At 48.2% G+C, this 16535-nt stretch overlaps 1 protein-coding gene and 1 pseudogene across 13 annotated transcripts in view, besides 2 other annotated features; both read right to left on the reverse strand.

The window, feature by feature from the left end:
• PLEKHA6 (pleckstrin homology domain containing A6) overlaps nucleotides 1-16535 on the reverse strand; it is a 159316-nt gene that overhangs the window by 121215 nt on the left and 21566 nt on the right. For 3 of the 13 annotated variants that reach the window (XM_047449454.1, XM_047449461.1, XM_011509298.4), the window contains exon 1: nucleotides 10813-10916. The exons of 8 other annotated variants lie outside the window; for them this stretch is intronic. In XM_047449454.1, coding sequence (XP_047305410.1) covers nucleotides 10813-10874 — 62 coding nt within the window. In that variant the 5' untranslated portion in view covers nucleotides 10875-10916. Of the gene's footprint in view, nucleotides 1-8680; nucleotides 8902-10812; nucleotides 10917-16535 lie in introns of those variants that run through there. 2 more of the 13 variants (XM_011509304.4, XM_011509299.4) reach the window with 2 other exon arrangements.
• Nucleotides 541-1149: an enhancer, noted in NCBI's record as "H3K4me1 hESC enhancer chr1:204309736-204310344 (GRCh37/hg19 assembly coordinates)". NCBI's record gives its function as "activates a minimal SCP1, AML or CMV promoter by ChIP-STARR-seq in primed H9 embryonic stem cells {active_cell/tissue: H9 hESC(primed)}" and the evidence as "EXISTENCE:reporter gene assay evidence [ECO:0000049][PMID:30033119]".
• On the reverse strand, nucleotides 6690-7231 carry RPL21P19 (ribosomal protein L21 pseudogene 19; annotated as a pseudogene).
• Nucleotides 8527-9265: an enhancer, noted in NCBI's record as "H3K4me1 hESC enhancer chr1:204317722-204318460 (GRCh37/hg19 assembly coordinates)". NCBI's record gives its function as "activates a minimal SCP1, AML or CMV promoter by ChIP-STARR-seq in naive H9 embryonic stem cells {active_cell/tissue: H9 hESC(naive)}" and the evidence as "EXISTENCE:reporter gene assay evidence [ECO:0000049][PMID:30033119]".

Consider the following 16535-nt stretch of genomic DNA (forward strand, 5'->3'; position numbering starts at 1 on the left):
CCTCACAAATCAAAAAAATGGGGTCATGACCGCATGAGAATTGGAAGGAGACAATATTTTGGAAAATTGGAACATGTTCTGTCACCCAGGACAGGGAAAGGGAAGGGTGGACTGGATGACAGGGATGGAGTGAGTGGGAGGGGGGTGTGTTATTCCCCAGCAGGGTAGCTGAATGTTAGAAAACAAACCCTCTGTGTTTGCTGACACAGTGCAAAGAGAAGGACTCACACAAAAGCCACCCATTATCCCGTAATTATTGTCTCTCTCGTGCCTGCAATTAACGGCTGTCTGAGAGGCGGCTGCTGGGGTAAATAAATGTTCACCCGCATTAGAGTCAATCAGCCAGCTGAAGCACCAATTAACAGGCCCACTGCAGAGACACTCCCGTACCAGCACAACTGCGGAGAGGCAGGGAGAAGATGAGACCACACATCCTGGACACGCTCATATCCCAGAACCAGGCAAGCGATGCTCAAAGCAACAACCTGAGCCCCAAGGTAGAAGCTGGTCTTGCCTCAAATGAGCCAAGCTGGGCAAGTAGGTACCCTGACCCCCAGGGCCATGTCAGAGAGGTCTTTTTGTGTTCACTCGTTGGCCAGCAACATTCCTGGGAGCTGCTATGGCTCTGGAATGGTGCAGTCCTCAGCCTGTGGGAGTCTATAGAGAGAAAGAGATGCAAGAGAAGGCCTCAGAGGTGCTGTTGCCTCCAGAGTTATGGGAGGAAAGAAACAGAAGACAAAGAGAGGAATCAGACAGGGTGCTGATCCCCGAAACAGACTTACACTGGCCTTTGGCTATTTTTGTTAAGCAGCAAACTCAGAAACACAGAGAAGGAGCTAACTTCAGAGAAGTCAGAGATGATTCTTTTGTCCAGAGAAGATGGGCAGGAGAGCGAGCAGCTGATAGGAGGCATCCCAACTCTTCTCCCAGGGATGTGGGGAAGACTGGGGTGCTTTATAGTCCTGTACAGCACACCCGGTGCCTGGCCACGGTGCTCTACCAGCCAGCTAGGCCCCCTCTCCTACCGTGGTCTGCAGCCAGCAGGGCTCAGGCCATAGGACAAGAAGCCCCAGAAGATGTGTACCAGGCCCCCAGGAATCCTCTTGGATCAGGAAGGCAGATCATGGTTGTTAGAGATTATCTGGCCCAGTGGTTCTCAATCCTGGCTTCGCACTAGAATTACCCAGAGAACTTTTTGCTCTCTGCTTTGAGGGCTTTTTCAAAATACTGGTGTTGGGTACCCACCAGAGACCAACTGAACCAGGATCTGTGGGGGAAAGGGTAGGGGCCCAGGAACATGCATTTCTTTAAAGCACCCCCCAGAGGATACTGGTGACTACTCCAACTTCCTTGGCTACAGATAAAGAACTGGGAGTCTGGTGCAGTAATACCTTGCCAAAGGTCAGCAGGGAACAGGGGAGGAGCTATAACCAGTTCATCTGATTGCAGGGATGGAGCTCTGGAAGTCAACATTGCTGGCTAAATAAATGAATGAGCTTCTAAGGGTGCACCACAGGGATCTGTTCTTGATCCTGCTGTGGTCTACATTTTCATCCATGATTTGCATAAAGACTTAGAAGGCATGGTTATCAGATTTGCTACTGACAAAGCTGGGAGGGATGACTAACACAGTGATGGCAGAATGAGGATTCCATATACTGGAATCATAGCCTAATATTAACCAAAAAAAGTAGATCAGAAACATAAAACCAAACATTTAAACTTTAAGATTCCAACTGTACATATCCAGTGGTTTGAAATACATGAGCTCAAGAGTATGTTACTAATAAAATGGGGAAAACATAAGTACAATCTATATTTTTTTAAATGCATGAGTGGCCGGGTGCAGTGGCTCATGCTTGTAATCCCAGCACTTTGAAAGGCTGAGGCGGGCAGATCATTTGATGTCAGGAATCAAGAGCAGGCTGGCCAACATGGTGAAACCCCATCTCTATTAAAAATACAAAATTAACCGTGTGTGGTGGCACATGCCTGTCATCCCAGCTACTCGGGAGGCTGAGGCAGGAGGATCGCTTGAGCCTGGGAGGCAGAGGTTGCAGTGAGCCAAGATTGTGCCACTGCACTCCCTCCTGGGCAACAGAATGAAACTCTGTCTCAAAAAAGAAAAGAAAATGAGTATTTTATAAAAACATTATGAGCTGAGCACAGTGGTGCACGCTTGTAGTCCCAGCTATTCGGGAGGCTGAGGCGGGAGAATTGTTCTAGGAGTTCAAGACCAGCCTGGGCAACATAGCAAAAACAAACAAACAAACAAAAAAACCTTTATTATGAGCATTCCAAGAAATAGCTTGTGATCAAATAGTACAGAAATAGCTTTATGTCCCCAGGAACCTGGTCAGTAGGACTAATATCAAGGCCTTGAAAGATAGGCTTCTTGCTTTCCGCATTCCTACTCCACATTGAATGACTTAGAGCAAGGCTTCTCCGCTTTTAATGTGCATATGAATCACCTGGAGGGCCTTGTTAAAACATAGATTCTGATTCAGCATGTTGGGGTGAGGCCTGAGATTCTGCATTTCCAGCAAGCTCCCTGATGATACAGATGCTAGTGGACCATGAAGACCAAGGATTTAGAGAGCCCCAGAGGTTTGTCTGTGAAAACAGTCACTCTGATTATGCTGTGGGCATCTGTGTCTTTTCCCCTATAGCCTGGGAACTTGGAGAAGCAGAGGAGCTAGAGTTGGAGGTAAGGAAGTTCCCAACAGTAAGTGCTCAGCTCACCTGATAAGCAAATGCAATGAATGAGCAAAGAAGAATAAAAGAGACCCACTGAAAGAAAGAAAAGACCCATGGGGAGGGAATTTTATTTTAGCCCCGTGTGGGTCAAGAGATTTTCCAAATAGAACGCCAGATCGCAGAACAGCATTATAAAAAGGACGCGACTGCATCAGTGAGAGTTCATGTGTGTTTGGAACCAATGTGAGGGGAGGCTTTGGGCTCCCCTTGACCCTGACCTTCCCTCTAACTCAGATCACATCTTTTATGCAGCAAAGGGGAGATCTAAGCCTGACAGCTGTCCGTGGGAAAATAACCTGAGGGCTTCAGTACAATGAGCTCAATTTAAACACCAGTGATTTGCAAATTTAGTCTGACATAATAGAAATATATCATCAAGTTGGAGGGCATCAGGGTCCCATGGAACAGACAATGTCTAGAGTATTGTGTTCAATTCCAGACAATTTATTTCAAGAGAGATTAAAAGCTACCATGTACTGAATTGCCTTTGGTTGCCAGGCACTGTTCCAAGCTTTTTACATGTATTAATGTATTTAACCCTCTCAACAACTCTATGAGGTAAGTACCATCATCACTCACATTTTACAGATGACTAAACCAAGGCTCAGAGAGGTTAAGGATTATAACCGGGGTCACACAGCTGGTGAGTGGGAAGCCAAGTGCAAACCCAGGCAGGCATATGACAGACCCTGTATCTTCCCCACTGGGTTATACGCTCTCCCCATACTTGCCTGACTCTTGAAACAATGATAAACAAGTGAGCCCAGAAAAGGATGGCCAGGATGTTGAACTGGTACCACCGTGTGGAAGTTAGAAGGAAACTTAAGCTCAACATTAAGGAATGATACAAGTTGAAACTGTCTATAACAATAGAAAAAACTACTTCACAGGGCAGTGCTCCTAGTCACTGGGGGCTTTCAAGCAGTGGCTGGCCTGACCATGTGCCCGAGACACTAGAAAGGCACCTGCTATATGGGAGAAAAGCTGACCAAGTGAAAGATTACTTTCAAGGCTGAGATTCTCAGTCCCTCCCCTATCCTGGTCATTCCATCTGGAAAAATAGACTCTGACACCAGGAGCACAGCGTCTATAATGAGCTACATTAAGCCCAGACTTGCCCCTGATTTTGGTGTGTGTGATGGAGAGAAAGTGACAGTAATGCCCAGACTAAAACTTGGCCAGAACCAGGCTCAGTGGTGCGTGCCTATAATCCCAGCTACTCAGGAGTATGAGGCAGGAGGATAGCTTAAGCCCAGGAGTTTGAGACCAGCCTGGGCAACGCAGCAAGACCCTATCTCGAAAAAATAAAGAAACTTGGCCAGGATGCCTGCAATTTGAGCCAAGGGAAGAGTTGCAGAAAATATGTAAATGAGCTGTTGCTGCTGACACCTCGCTCTTCCCTGACCTGTTCTCTCCTGAGGTTCTTGTGGGAGTGATAAACTCCTCTAAGCCGGCTGAAAATAGCCCGCTCCTTCTCAAAAACAAACATTTAAGGCCAGGCTTGGTGGCTCACGCCTGTAATCCTAGCACTTTGGGAGGCCTAGGCAGGTGGATCATTTGAGCTCAGGAGTTGAAGACTAGCCTGGCCAACATGGTGAAACCCCGTCTCTACTAAAAATACAAAAATAAGCTGGACGTGGTGGAGTACACCTGTAATCCCAGCTGCTCCAGAGGCTGAGGCAGGAGAATTGCTTGAACCCGGGAGGCAGAGGTTGCAGTCAGCCGAGATTGTGCCACTGCATTCCAGCCTGGGTGACAGAGTGAGACTCCATCTCAAAAAAAAAAAAAAAAAAGAAATATTTAAAAATATATAGAGTCAATTATAAAAAGTATAAAAGATGTTCAGTGTTTTCTAACCCAAATTAATTATACTGCAGACCAGTACCTCATCCATATTATCAGGGTGCCCCAGAAGTGAGTGACAAAGCAACATCTCCAAGGAGGAAAGCAGAAAAGGACAGATGAGATGTGATCCAGCCCCATCCTGCCAATCCTTCAGCCAGTGACTGGGAAGCAGGGATCCTGGCTCTGAGCCAGAAGGTGGAGAAACAAGCTGAAATCTAACCCAGGAAAAAATGTGGGTGTAAGAGTTCCATCATAACCAGAGTTCCCGCACCTCATTCCCTGTATGTCACCCCTGCCCCAAGCATAATGCCTGGAGAAGGTGGGGAAAGCGACTTACCGAGCACCAACTCTTTCAAGATATTGTGTTAATTGCTGTGGGGAGATACACATTTATCGGCGAGAAAGACATATGTGGATGGAACATTTCAGAACAACTTGTATTTCCAACTGGCTGATTCAGCCAATTAAAGGACACTTTTAAAAATATAACTTAATAAGTATAAGTGTTGATGACTTTGGCCTTGGTTCTGACAACACCAAATCTGGAAGACACTGGGCCCGATTGGGATGCTTTCTATTTTGATACAAAAAAGTCCTTCCTGAGGTCTAGACACTCTCTGTCTCCATGCTTACCACTCTACCCCCTCCCTGCAGACTTTCCTAACAAGGAGGCCAGGACAGCTTGACCACACACAGCCCATCAGAAGGTGCCTGAGCTTCCCCTATGCCTGCCAACCCAGGCTTCTTTGCTCAGCCCCCTGGCCCCACTCCCTTCGAGGTTTCTTTCCACTGAGAACCCTCTCCACACTCCCCATCTCTGCTGTGCCACTCTTCCAGAGGTCTCAGGTTCTCTTCTTCCCGCCCCCCTCAGGTCTGGGTGCCACCATGAGGCAGATGTCACAGGATCTCCCCGTTACCCTCCCCCAGCGCCCACGTGCACTGTGACCTGGGTTCAGCCTCACCCACAGCACAAGTACTAGAGAGCTGGTGGAGGAGGCACTCAAGCATTTCCCTGAAAGAACAGCAGGGCCAACAATGACTCCTCCTGTCCCCTCTTCCCCCACACTATGTTCTGCTCCCCCTGACCCCAGAGCAGGTTCCCCCCAGCAAAGCCACTGGAGCAAACCCTCCTTTCTCTGCTGAGTCACTTGACCTTAATGGTAAGAGACCAGAAGCCCTGGAGAAAATCAGCTCACCCAACTTCCCAGTCGCTCTCCACACTCACATCTGAACACACACAAGAAAAGTGACCCCTGTTACAGGGATAGCAAGGAAGAGCAGAAAGGTGTGGAGAGGAGTACAGAGAAAAGAAGAGAATGAGCGAAGCTCACCCTGCTAGCCACCACCAGATGGTTAAGCTGGCTTTAAGTGGGGACACTTGGTTTCTGGATTCAGAGAAGGCCTGTTCTGCAAAGGGAAGCTATGGCTCCTAGAGGAGCTGCTGCCCCATTGGATAGCCCCCTCCTCAATCACAAGTGGGCAGCAGGGAGCAAGGAAGACTACTGGCACTGGGTGTGGTCTCTGATTCTCCCTCCACCCTAGCTCTGCCTCTAAGCCCTGCCTCAGCTGCTTTGTGACTAGATTTCTGCACTGTCTGACAGCCCCCTCGATTATACCTAGAGCAGCTGACAGGCCCTCTCTGTATGCATGGGAACATGAGAGCAGCAAACACTCTCACTCTCACCCCCCTAGAGGAGGCAGCATCTACCACCTGCCTCTTCCAGAACACGGGTCTGGGCACCTGAGGGTGGCCAGCCGGGCAGCTCTGAGCCACCACAAATGAGCCATGACCACAGGGGAAGCCATGACAAAGTGGAGTCAAATAAATAACCACATCCCCCACACCTCCATTTCTCTTACTGGTTAATACACACCCACACTCACAGTTGGGTCACACGAGGGGCAAGAAGATGGCTCGGCAGGAAACATGGAAACATCCATAAATTCTAATTCTGATTCCTCCCTCACTTCCCAATGTGGCCATGGGTAAGTGACCCATCACCTCAGAAACAGACTCTTTGTATTCTCTTTCCCAGGGATGTTCCTTGCTGAGAAAAAGAATTCAGCGATATTTCTCCCATTTGCTTTTTTTTTTTTTAACACCTATTATGCCATGAATTCATAGGGAATAGGTTCCAGCAGCTCAGGCTCCTTCCCATTGGTTCTCACAAAGTGTGCTTCTCTGGGTGGAGCAGGCTGGCGCTTTAGTTGAATCCAGGTAACTTTCTCTTTGGCTTCTTTCTTTTTCTGATCATTTTCCTTCACACGTTTCAGGAAGCTATCTCGGCTCTTAGAGTGCTTAATGTGCTCAATACGCACATTAATTCTCTTGGCAAGAATCTTGCCTTTAACTTGTTTGTTTACAACAATGCCAACAGCATGCTGGGTAACATTGTAGACTCTTCCAGTTTTGCCGTGGTAACGCGTGTGGGGCATTCCTTTTTGAACAGTACCCATTCCCTTGATGTCTACAATATCACCTTTCTTATAGACTCGCATATACGTGGCCAAAGGAACAACTCCATGTTTTCTAAAAGGCCTAGAGAACATACATCGGGTGCCTCTCCTCTTTCCCTTTGTATTCGTCATTTTGGCGAATTACTGGAAGATGGCAGTTATGGCCGAAAGGCTCCCATTTGCTTTTGAAAGAAGAGAAATATGGCTCTGTTCTGCCTGGCTCACTGGCTGTCAGAGTTTAAGGTGATCTCTCTTGTTCCCTAAACACTGCTGTTATCCTGTTCTTTTTTCAAGGTGCCCAGATTTCATATTGTTTAAACACACATGCTCTACAATTTGTGCAGTTAACGCAATTATCACTGGGTCCTGAGGTGACATACATCCTCCTCGGCTTACGAGATGACAGGATTAAGAGATTAAAGTAAAGACAGGCATAGGAAATCACAAGGGTATTGATTGGGGAAGCGATAAGTGTCCATGAAATCTTCACAATTTATGTTTAGAGATTGCAGTAAAGACAGGCATAAGAAATTATAAAAGTATTAATTTGGGGAACTAATAAATGTCCATGAAATCTTCACAAACCACGTTCTTCTGCCATGGCTTCAGTCGGTCCCTCCGTTTTGGGTCCCTGACTTCCCGCAACAAAAGGTCACCCTGGACAAGCTGGGAGAATAGAGTATATTGAGTGGGTAGATGGCAGAGTATATGGATGCAGAGATTAGGGGTTCCTATAAGAAAGATACTCATCCAATTTCACAGTGTAAATCAGCTCTTCTTGAAGCACTGGGCATGCTCTCCTTGCCAGCTGGTACCATCCTGAAGTACCGATTCTCCTTATCAGAAACCCACCATCTCCCCAGCCTCTACTCACCCAGCTGGAGCTAGAAACGTACATCCAACTTGAATTTCAGCGGAATTCCTAGTCGCACACACCCACCACCCTGGCCTGTAACACCACATGTTACAGAGGCACCAAGAGCCGTAAATAACAAATCAAGAGCCTGGACAAGATACCTTCTGACTGCTCTCATTTTTACAGTTGGAAATGCTGCTTAAAGCAGTGGGTGCTGAGTAAATTAACAAGAAACCTAGAGAGACCAGGACATGGCTAGAGCTGAAGCTTCTTGACCCTCTGCAACCTTCTCCTCAAGCCACGGGCCCTAATTCAGCCATCAGCCACCCTTCAGCCCTCCCTTCAACACAGGGCAGGTTGGGCAGCTTGAAGCTGAAAAGAGAATACGCCCAAACAGCAAGGAAATGTCTCCCAGCCATAAATGCCTTGCCCGTTCTTCTGTTTGCAAAGAGCAAAGTCCATTTGGGAAGGGAAGGAATGGTACCAGCTAGTGAACCCCACACAAACCAACCCGGTCCTGAGAGATGGACACACAGGCTGAATTCACACAGCATGGCTGAAAATGGAACCGAGCAGTGTGGATTCCTTCATTCGCTCCTGCTTCTCATTCCAGGCCTTATCTTTATTTTATCACAATAAATATTTATAGGGTCAGCATTTGGCCTGGGTATTCCACAGCCACTCGCGCCCCTCTTGCTTCAGGCACTCCCAACTCAGCCCCCAGGTGCCAAACCCCCCCCCCGCCATCTCCCCCACCCTGCTGACCTTAGCCTGTGCTCAAGGCCACACTTGGCAGACATCCTGCTGACTGTCATCTCCATTGTCAGATGGGAGATAGACAATGAGAAACGGGCTTCTCTGGGGACTGGTTTAAGGCTTTCCTGTCAAAAAACCTCCCAGAAGCCTGAGGCCTCTAGGCATGGCCTGGGCCCCTGACACCAAGTCTGCCCTCACAGTGAGGTCCAGTTGCTTGGCAACCAGAACAGCTTGTCGGGAGGGGTTAGCTTCAGCCCACGCAGCTAGCCCCACCCATCCTTCCCGGCTGACTCCCCTCAGACACGGAGGGAACACCCAGACTGCTTCAAGCTTGGCCTTCTCTTTTCACAGCTCTCCTCAGTCCCAGCCTCTGCAGTCCCTGAGACAGCAGACAAGAGGAGCCTGAGTTCCGGGCCTGGCTCCAGGCCCTCAATTTTAAGGGGGCCAGGACAGACACCTGGGATCTGTTTGGATCTTGAGATCTCTCTTTCTCTCCCTATAAGAATCCTTGAGTTCTTGGCCGGGTGCGGTGGCTCACGCCTATAATCCCAGCACTTTGGGAGGCCGAGGCGGGCGGATCACTTGAGGTCAGGAGTTCGAGACCAGCCTGGCCAATATGGCGAAACCCCGTCTCTACTAAAAGTACAAAAAATTTAGCTGGGCATGGTGGTGTGTGCCTGTAATCCCAGCTACTTGGGAGGCTGAGGCAGGAGAATCACTTGAACCCAGGAGCCAGAGGTTGCAGTGAGCCAAGATCACGCCACTGCGCTCCAGCCTGGGCAACAGAGCAGGACTCCATCTCAAAAAAAAAAAAAAAAAAAGAATCCTTGAGTTCTCCTCACAGCAGGAATAAAACTGGGCAGCAGATTCAGCAGGCGTTAGGGTGGGCTGTGGACCTGAGCAACAGAGACCCAGCTCGAGCCTTGGCTCCAGGACTTGCTGCTTCTGGCCCTAGGCAAGTCATGAGACTTCTCAGTCTCGTTGACTTCATAGATCAGAGTGGCGAGGATGCCCCAGGTGATGGCACCTGGAAGGTGAGAGCAGTGGGGGAGGGCCTATACATACCTGAAGAGCCTTAGTGCGCATGCTGTCTCAGTGTTTCACTGAAAGAAGTGACTCATCTGTGAGTGCGAAAGCAAGTTGAAGGGTGAAGACTATCTTTAAAAATAAATATGTATAGGCCAGACAAGACTGCAATATGACATGCACCACTTACAGTAAGGGTAACACGCATGTGCTCCTGGAATGTATTTCTACTGGTTGCAGTCAAAAATTTCGATGTCTTCCTTTTAAAACATTCTGGCCAGGCGCAGTGGTTCATGTCTGTAATCCCAGCACTTTGGGAAGCTGAGGCAGATGGCTCACTTGAGCCCAGAAGTTCAAGACCAGCCTGGACAACATGGTGAAACCGTCTCTACCAAAAAATACAAAAATTAGCTGGGCACAGTGGCAAGCACGTGTAGTCCCAGCTCCTTGGGAGGCTGAGGTGGGAGGATGGCTTGAGCCAGGGAGGTCAAGGCTGCAATGAGCTATGATGTCACCAGGACACTCCAGCATGGGTGACAGAGTAAGACCGTGTCTCAAAAACAAAAACAAAAATAAAAAAACCTTTCTTGCTCTTGCAGATGTTCCAACCTGTGTAACTTGTGTTCTGCCCTCAGCAGAGTGAGCTGGTAAACTCCTTGAGGTAAGAGCCATGTCTCTAATTTGTCAAGAATTCCAACCATCCCACCACCATCCCCTCCGCAGGGCTGGGCTCAGAGCAGGGTTGGCCTCTAGTGCAAGCTCTTCACAGGCTGGAAAGCAGCCACCAAATCAAAAATCACTATGGAAGGAGAGGAAGGAACCCACCGCTGACGGTGCCAGGCACTGCTCCCAAACGTGTGCTCTGGAGGTCCAAGTTCTCTCCATTTTACAGATGAAGAAATCAAAGCTCAAAGAGGTAAAATTGTCTGGGAGATGGGGGCGGGGGGAGGACCAGGACTGACGTCTTGGTTTGGATGGCCCCTGGTTTTATCACTGCCAGGGTTAGCTCCTGAGCCGCCCTGTCAAATCCCCTAAACGTCCCATGAAGGCCAAGACGACTCACACTGCAAAACATACACACAAAGGGTCGGAAACAGCACAACATTCTTTCCTACCTGCCTTTTTCTGGCTTTCCCAGTCCCACGAGGGAGAGAGGAGAGGGCTGTGCTGGGGGCATCTGGGATCTGTCTTCCTCCTTGTCCAGCCCTTGTCCTTCTCTGCCTCTTTTGAGGCTGACTTCCCCCAGCTCACCACCCTCCTCTCCGAACGCCAGCTAACCGGTTACCCGGGCAACCCAGCTGGGAGGCCGCCAGTTACCACGGCAACCCAGCATGGCCGCCAGGCTGCCTTGCTTAGGAAGGTCAGGGGACCAGCCGGGCTACCGAGCAGCTGGGATGCTGCTGGCAGGACTGGCCCAGGCAGGGGGAGTGGGGTGTGGCGGGGGGGAGGTGGCCTACGTGCCTGAGATAACTAAGTTCCTGCTGTCAGGGGCCACCTTTCCCTTTGACATGTTTCCCATGAAGCAGGCTCCCCCAACTTGGGCATGAACCACAAGCCGTCCTCCCCAGTTCCATCACCCAAGCCGAACCCGACCCCTCCCACCTTCTCTACAGAGTTCCGGTCGCCTCACCTCCAGGAAGGCTTCTCAGGCTGAGCAGCAGCCAGCTGTCATTCAGCCTAACCCCAGGCCCTCTCACCCTCCGCCCTTCCTGAGCATATCCAGGAGTCCACACATATGCAACATGCGTGTGTCAGCGTGCAGATGTGGTCTCTCTGTGAAATATGGTGGTAAAAATCATAAGGAAGAGCTAATATTTTCTAGTACTTACTATGTGCCTAGCATGTTGTAGGTGACTTGTGTGAAGTTTCTCAATTGAGCCATACAACAATCATATTATCCTCACTTCGCAGATAGAGTGCCTGAGACTTAGAGAAGGTGAGGGACTTACTCAAGGCTGCACAGGTACTAACCAGCAGAGACAGGGTGAGGCTGTGTAGGGACCAGCTTCCTGGAATTCCTTCAGCTCCTGCCCTCCCCAAGCTCCTCCCACCAACCAATCCCAGGCCTGGTTTCAAGGTGACATTTTTAACTTTTATTAAGTTATTAAGTTTCACCATGCCCAACATGGTAAAAACTCATCTCTACTAAAAATACAAAAATTAGCCAGGCGTGGTGGTGCATGTCTGTAATCCCAACTACTCAGGAGGCTGAGGCAAGAGAATCGTTTGAACCTGGCAGGCGGAGGTTGCAGTGAGCCGAGATCTCGCCACTGCACTCCAGCCTGGGTGACAGAGTGAGACTTTGTCTCAAAAAAAAAGATTATTTAGGCCAGGTGTGGTGGCTCACACCTGTAACCCCAGCACTTCCGGAGGCCAAGGCAGACAGATCACTTGAGGCCAGGAATTTGAGACCAGCCTGGCCAACATGGTGAAACCCCATCTCTACTAAAAATACCAAAATTAGCCCGGCATGGTGGCGCATGCCTTGTAATCCCAGCTACTCAGGAGGCTGAGGCAGGAGAATTGCTTGAACCTGGGAGGCAGAGGTTGCAGTGAGCCAAGATCGCACCACTGCACTCCAGCCTGGGCCACAGAGCGAGACTCCGTCTCAAAAAAAAAAAGAAAAGAAAAAAGAAAAAAAGACTATCCAGTGCCACATGTTTTCTTCATATTATTTTATTTCATTTACTCCTTGCCGCTGCGGAGACTTCAGTCTCCTAACAGGATAGCTTAGGAAACAGAGACCCAGAGAGGTTAAGTAATTTTCCCAAGCTGAGACCCGGCTTAAGGTTTCTGCCTTGGGGAACCTCCTAGGAGAGTCTATCCTTTTCTTTTTTGGCCACCAACATATGTAGCATATGTCTGTATCATATACAGCATGGTCGTTTGCTCACTCATCTGCTCCCTTACAAGAGCGTGAGTTTAAAAATTTTTTTTTGACCGGTCACAGTGGCTCACGCCTGTAGTCCCAATACTTTGGGAGGCCGAGGCAGGAGGATCACTTGAGCCCAGGAGTTTAAGACTAGCCTGGGCAACAAAGTGAGACTCTGTCTCTACAAAAAATAAAATAATCAGCCAGGTGTGGTGGTGCATGCCTGTGGTCCCAGCTACTCAGGAGGCTGAGGTGGGAGGACTGCATGAGCCTAGGAGGTGGAGACTACAGTGAGCTATGATCATGCCACTGCATTCCAGCCTGGGGGACAGAGTGAGGCCCCATCTCAAAAATAAATAAATCAAAATAAAAATTCATTTTTGCAACCTAGTACCTGCCTGGTACATAAGGAGCATGCAGTAAGTATGTACCCAAAGCAAATGGTAGGGCCAGGCTCCCAAGTTCTACCCACCACTTAATTCCATGCTGTCTCTACCACATCACCCTGTCTCATTCACTCAGCCAATCAAAAAGCAGTTACCAACCATTTTGTGACTGGCTCTGCGTGAAACATCACAGATACAAATAAGACAAATCAGGCCATCTCTTGCCTTGAAGAAGTACAGTGGAGTGAGAGGCAAGGCTGAGGAGAACAGGGAATAAATTCCCCACCACTGCCCTCACCCAAGGCTTTCTCATGAGTGTTTCTCTGTGCCTGCTCCTTGGGGCCTAACCCTCCCATCCAAAGCTTCATATATCCAACCAACATTTGTTGAGCACCTACTATGTGCTAAGTACTGCCCTGTAATCACTCATAGTTGTGGGGAGAGTTGGCAGGATTAGAAGACAATGGAGTCAGGAATTACTGGACAGCAGAGAAGTGACTGAGAAGGTCAGAGTCCAAGAAGCAGTGGCCAGGGCCACCGGGAGCATATGGAGAACTTTAAAGAGCTTTCACATTTGATGTGATCATGGACTTTCAGGTCGCATTGCTTTATATTCACACCTACTTCCTACACCTAACTCATTTGATCCTTGGTGATAAGGGCAGGGTGGGAACTATTATTCCCATTTTAGAGATGAGGATACTGAGGCTCAGAAGGGGAAAAGCATTGGGTTAGGAGGAGGAAACCTGGGTTCTAGACCTCACTTGTCATTCAAACAGGTCTCAGCACTACGCCTCTATCACCATACTCCCACCCGCACCACCCCACCAAAGCAGGTTTTTCTTCCCTGCTCCGATCCCCTTCAATTCCCCAGTGAGACAGCCCCAGTTTCAAGTGAGGTTAGCAGGATTGCTGGATAGCCTGGATCCAGTCCCTGGATAGCCCACTGCTGCTCATGTGGTCCCAGGAACCAAGCAAAACCAGAACAATGACCGCACCACCTGAGGCTAGGTAGAATTTAAGAGGCTAATTGCAAGAATTTGTCTAATTAAAAGCAAATTGGCACCTGCAATTATAGATGCCTGTTCTTCTCAGATCATGATGAGCCAGACTGGGGGGACACAATGATGTCAGAGCTAAGGAGGGACCTCACCTCCTCCTTAAAGAGGGCCCTAGGCCACCTCACTGCAGAAGTGGAGCTCCGACTAACCCGAGGAAGACATAGCTGAAACCAGGGTGGACCAGCTACCATGAAGCCTCAGCACTGATGCATGTTTATCAGATCAGCACTGGCAGCTCCAGCTCTATTTCCTGAATTCACACGGTGAGGACCAATCCTTTACAGAGACTAAGTGGGTGACCTGGGAGGACTTGACAGTATCCCTGAATACCAGCTACCCTAAAAACATTTCCCACCAATCCACCTCAGCACCCATCTGGTCTTTGAGTTAAAGCCTTGCCTTCCGAAATATGATGTTCAGTAACTGACATTTGTGTGATTATTCTCAGTTTACAAAGCACTTCCATGTACATTACTCACCTAGGTATCAGCTAGGTAGGTGGTAGTGATACTAACCCCAGTTCTCAGGCTAGGAAGTGAAAGCTCAGAAGGATTAAGTAACTTCCACAAATCATATGGCTACTACTTGGGTCAGGATTTGAACCCATGTCTTCAAATTCCAGATGAGCCTTCTCTCCATGACCACAGCAGGAGCTAACATACGGATCATAATTAGTTTATCAGATAAGCTTGCGCTACTTTAGAAAGTGCAAAGAGGTCTCATGGGAATGAGAAATGCTGGGAAGATTTGACAAGGGAGAAATCAAGACAGGATGTGCACACGGCCGTGCAGGGGCGCGGACAGGGGCTGCAGGAGTACCAGCCCCAGTGGAGTATCCTATAAGCCATGCACCTGCCAGAAGAAGCCCCCAGCAAGTGTGCCATTCCAGGGGATTCTCCTGGAGGAAGTGGCTGCCCTGGGCATGTGTGTGGCCACCTCACCACATTCTGTGCCAGTAAGGCCACAGTTCATGTGGGGGCTCCAGGAAAGCTCAAGAAAGAACTTGAGGGTCTTTGGAGGAACAGGGGCACTTAGTCTTGAACAAGGAGACTTGGGAGGGCTTGGAGGGAGAGAGACGATTATACCTGTCTTCAGATATCTATGTTTCTCATGCAAATCAACAAGGTAATAATAACAAACACATTTATCACTTATTCTGCTCAGCAGGATTCTATGTGCTTGCATATGTAACCTCATTTATCTTCACAAGAAGCTTATGAGATAGGTAGCATTATCTTCATTTTACAAATGGAGAAACTGAGGCACAGAGAAGTAAAGCCACTGTTAGCATCATATCACTGGTAAATGGTAGATTCCAGATTCAACCTGAGTTTGACCCCATAACTACGTTTTGTTTGTTTGTTTGTTTGTTTTGAGACAGAGTCTTGTTCTGTCACCCAGGCTGGAGTACAGTGGCACGATCTCGGCTCACTGCAACCTCCGCCTCCTGGGTTCAATGGATTCTCCTGCCTCAGCCTCCCAGGTACGTGGGATTACAGGAAGCCAGCACCACACTTAGCTAATTTTTATATTTTTAACAGAGATGGGGTTTCACCATGTTGACCAGGCTGGTCTCAAACTTCTGGCTTCAAGTAATCCACCCGCTTCGGCCTCCCAAAGTGCTGGGATTACAGGCATGAGCCACTATTCCTGGCCAACTGTGATCTTAATGACTCTGCACACACTGCCTTTTAAGAAAAGCCAAAGACTCGAACACACAAATATGTTTATTACATGGACATATTATATATTGCATTGTTATTAATATGGACAATGTCACATTTGATAAGTCTCTTTTTAAAAATTGTCTCACTCCCAGTCAAACAGATGGATCGAAGCAATAAATGAAAACCATGAAAAAGTTGTAATACTCAATGTTGATGCTCATGGCACACACACACACACACACACACACACAAAAAAAATCCATTCTCAGACACAGCTGCGAGGAATGTAAATTAGTGCTTTTGAACGAGGTATTTGGCAAAATATTTTAATAATGTAGCCATTTCACTTCTAGAAATGCAACCTAAGGGAAAAAAGTATTGATATGTGTGAAGATTCAGATATTTATATGTTCATTGTAGCCTTGTTTATAAAAGTAGAAAATTGGAAATACCTAGTTTAACATAGGGGCCAAATCAACAAATAAATTGAAAAGGTATATAATGAAATATGAGACAGCCACTTTAAAATGATGCTGTAAAGGCCAGGTGTGGTGGTTCACGCCTGTAATCCCAGCACTTTGGGAGGCCGACGTGGGTGGATCACTTGAGCACAGGAGTTCAAGACCAGCCTGGCCAACGTGGCCAACTCTATCAAAAATACATAAAATTAGCCAGGTATGGTGACATGCACCTGTAGACCCAGCCACTTGGGAGGCTGAGGTAGGAGGATCGCTTGAGCCTAGGAGGTTGAGACTGCAGTGAGCAGAGATTGTACCACAGCACTCCAGCCTGGACAACAGAACAAGGCCCTGTCTCAAATAATAATAATAATATTAATAATAATAATAATGC

This window comes from Homo sapiens, chromosome 1, assembly GCF_000001405.40.
Source record: "Homo sapiens chromosome 1, GRCh38.p14 Primary Assembly".
NCBI classification, from domain to species: domain Eukaryota; kingdom Metazoa; phylum Chordata; class Mammalia; order Primates; family Hominidae; genus Homo; species Homo sapiens.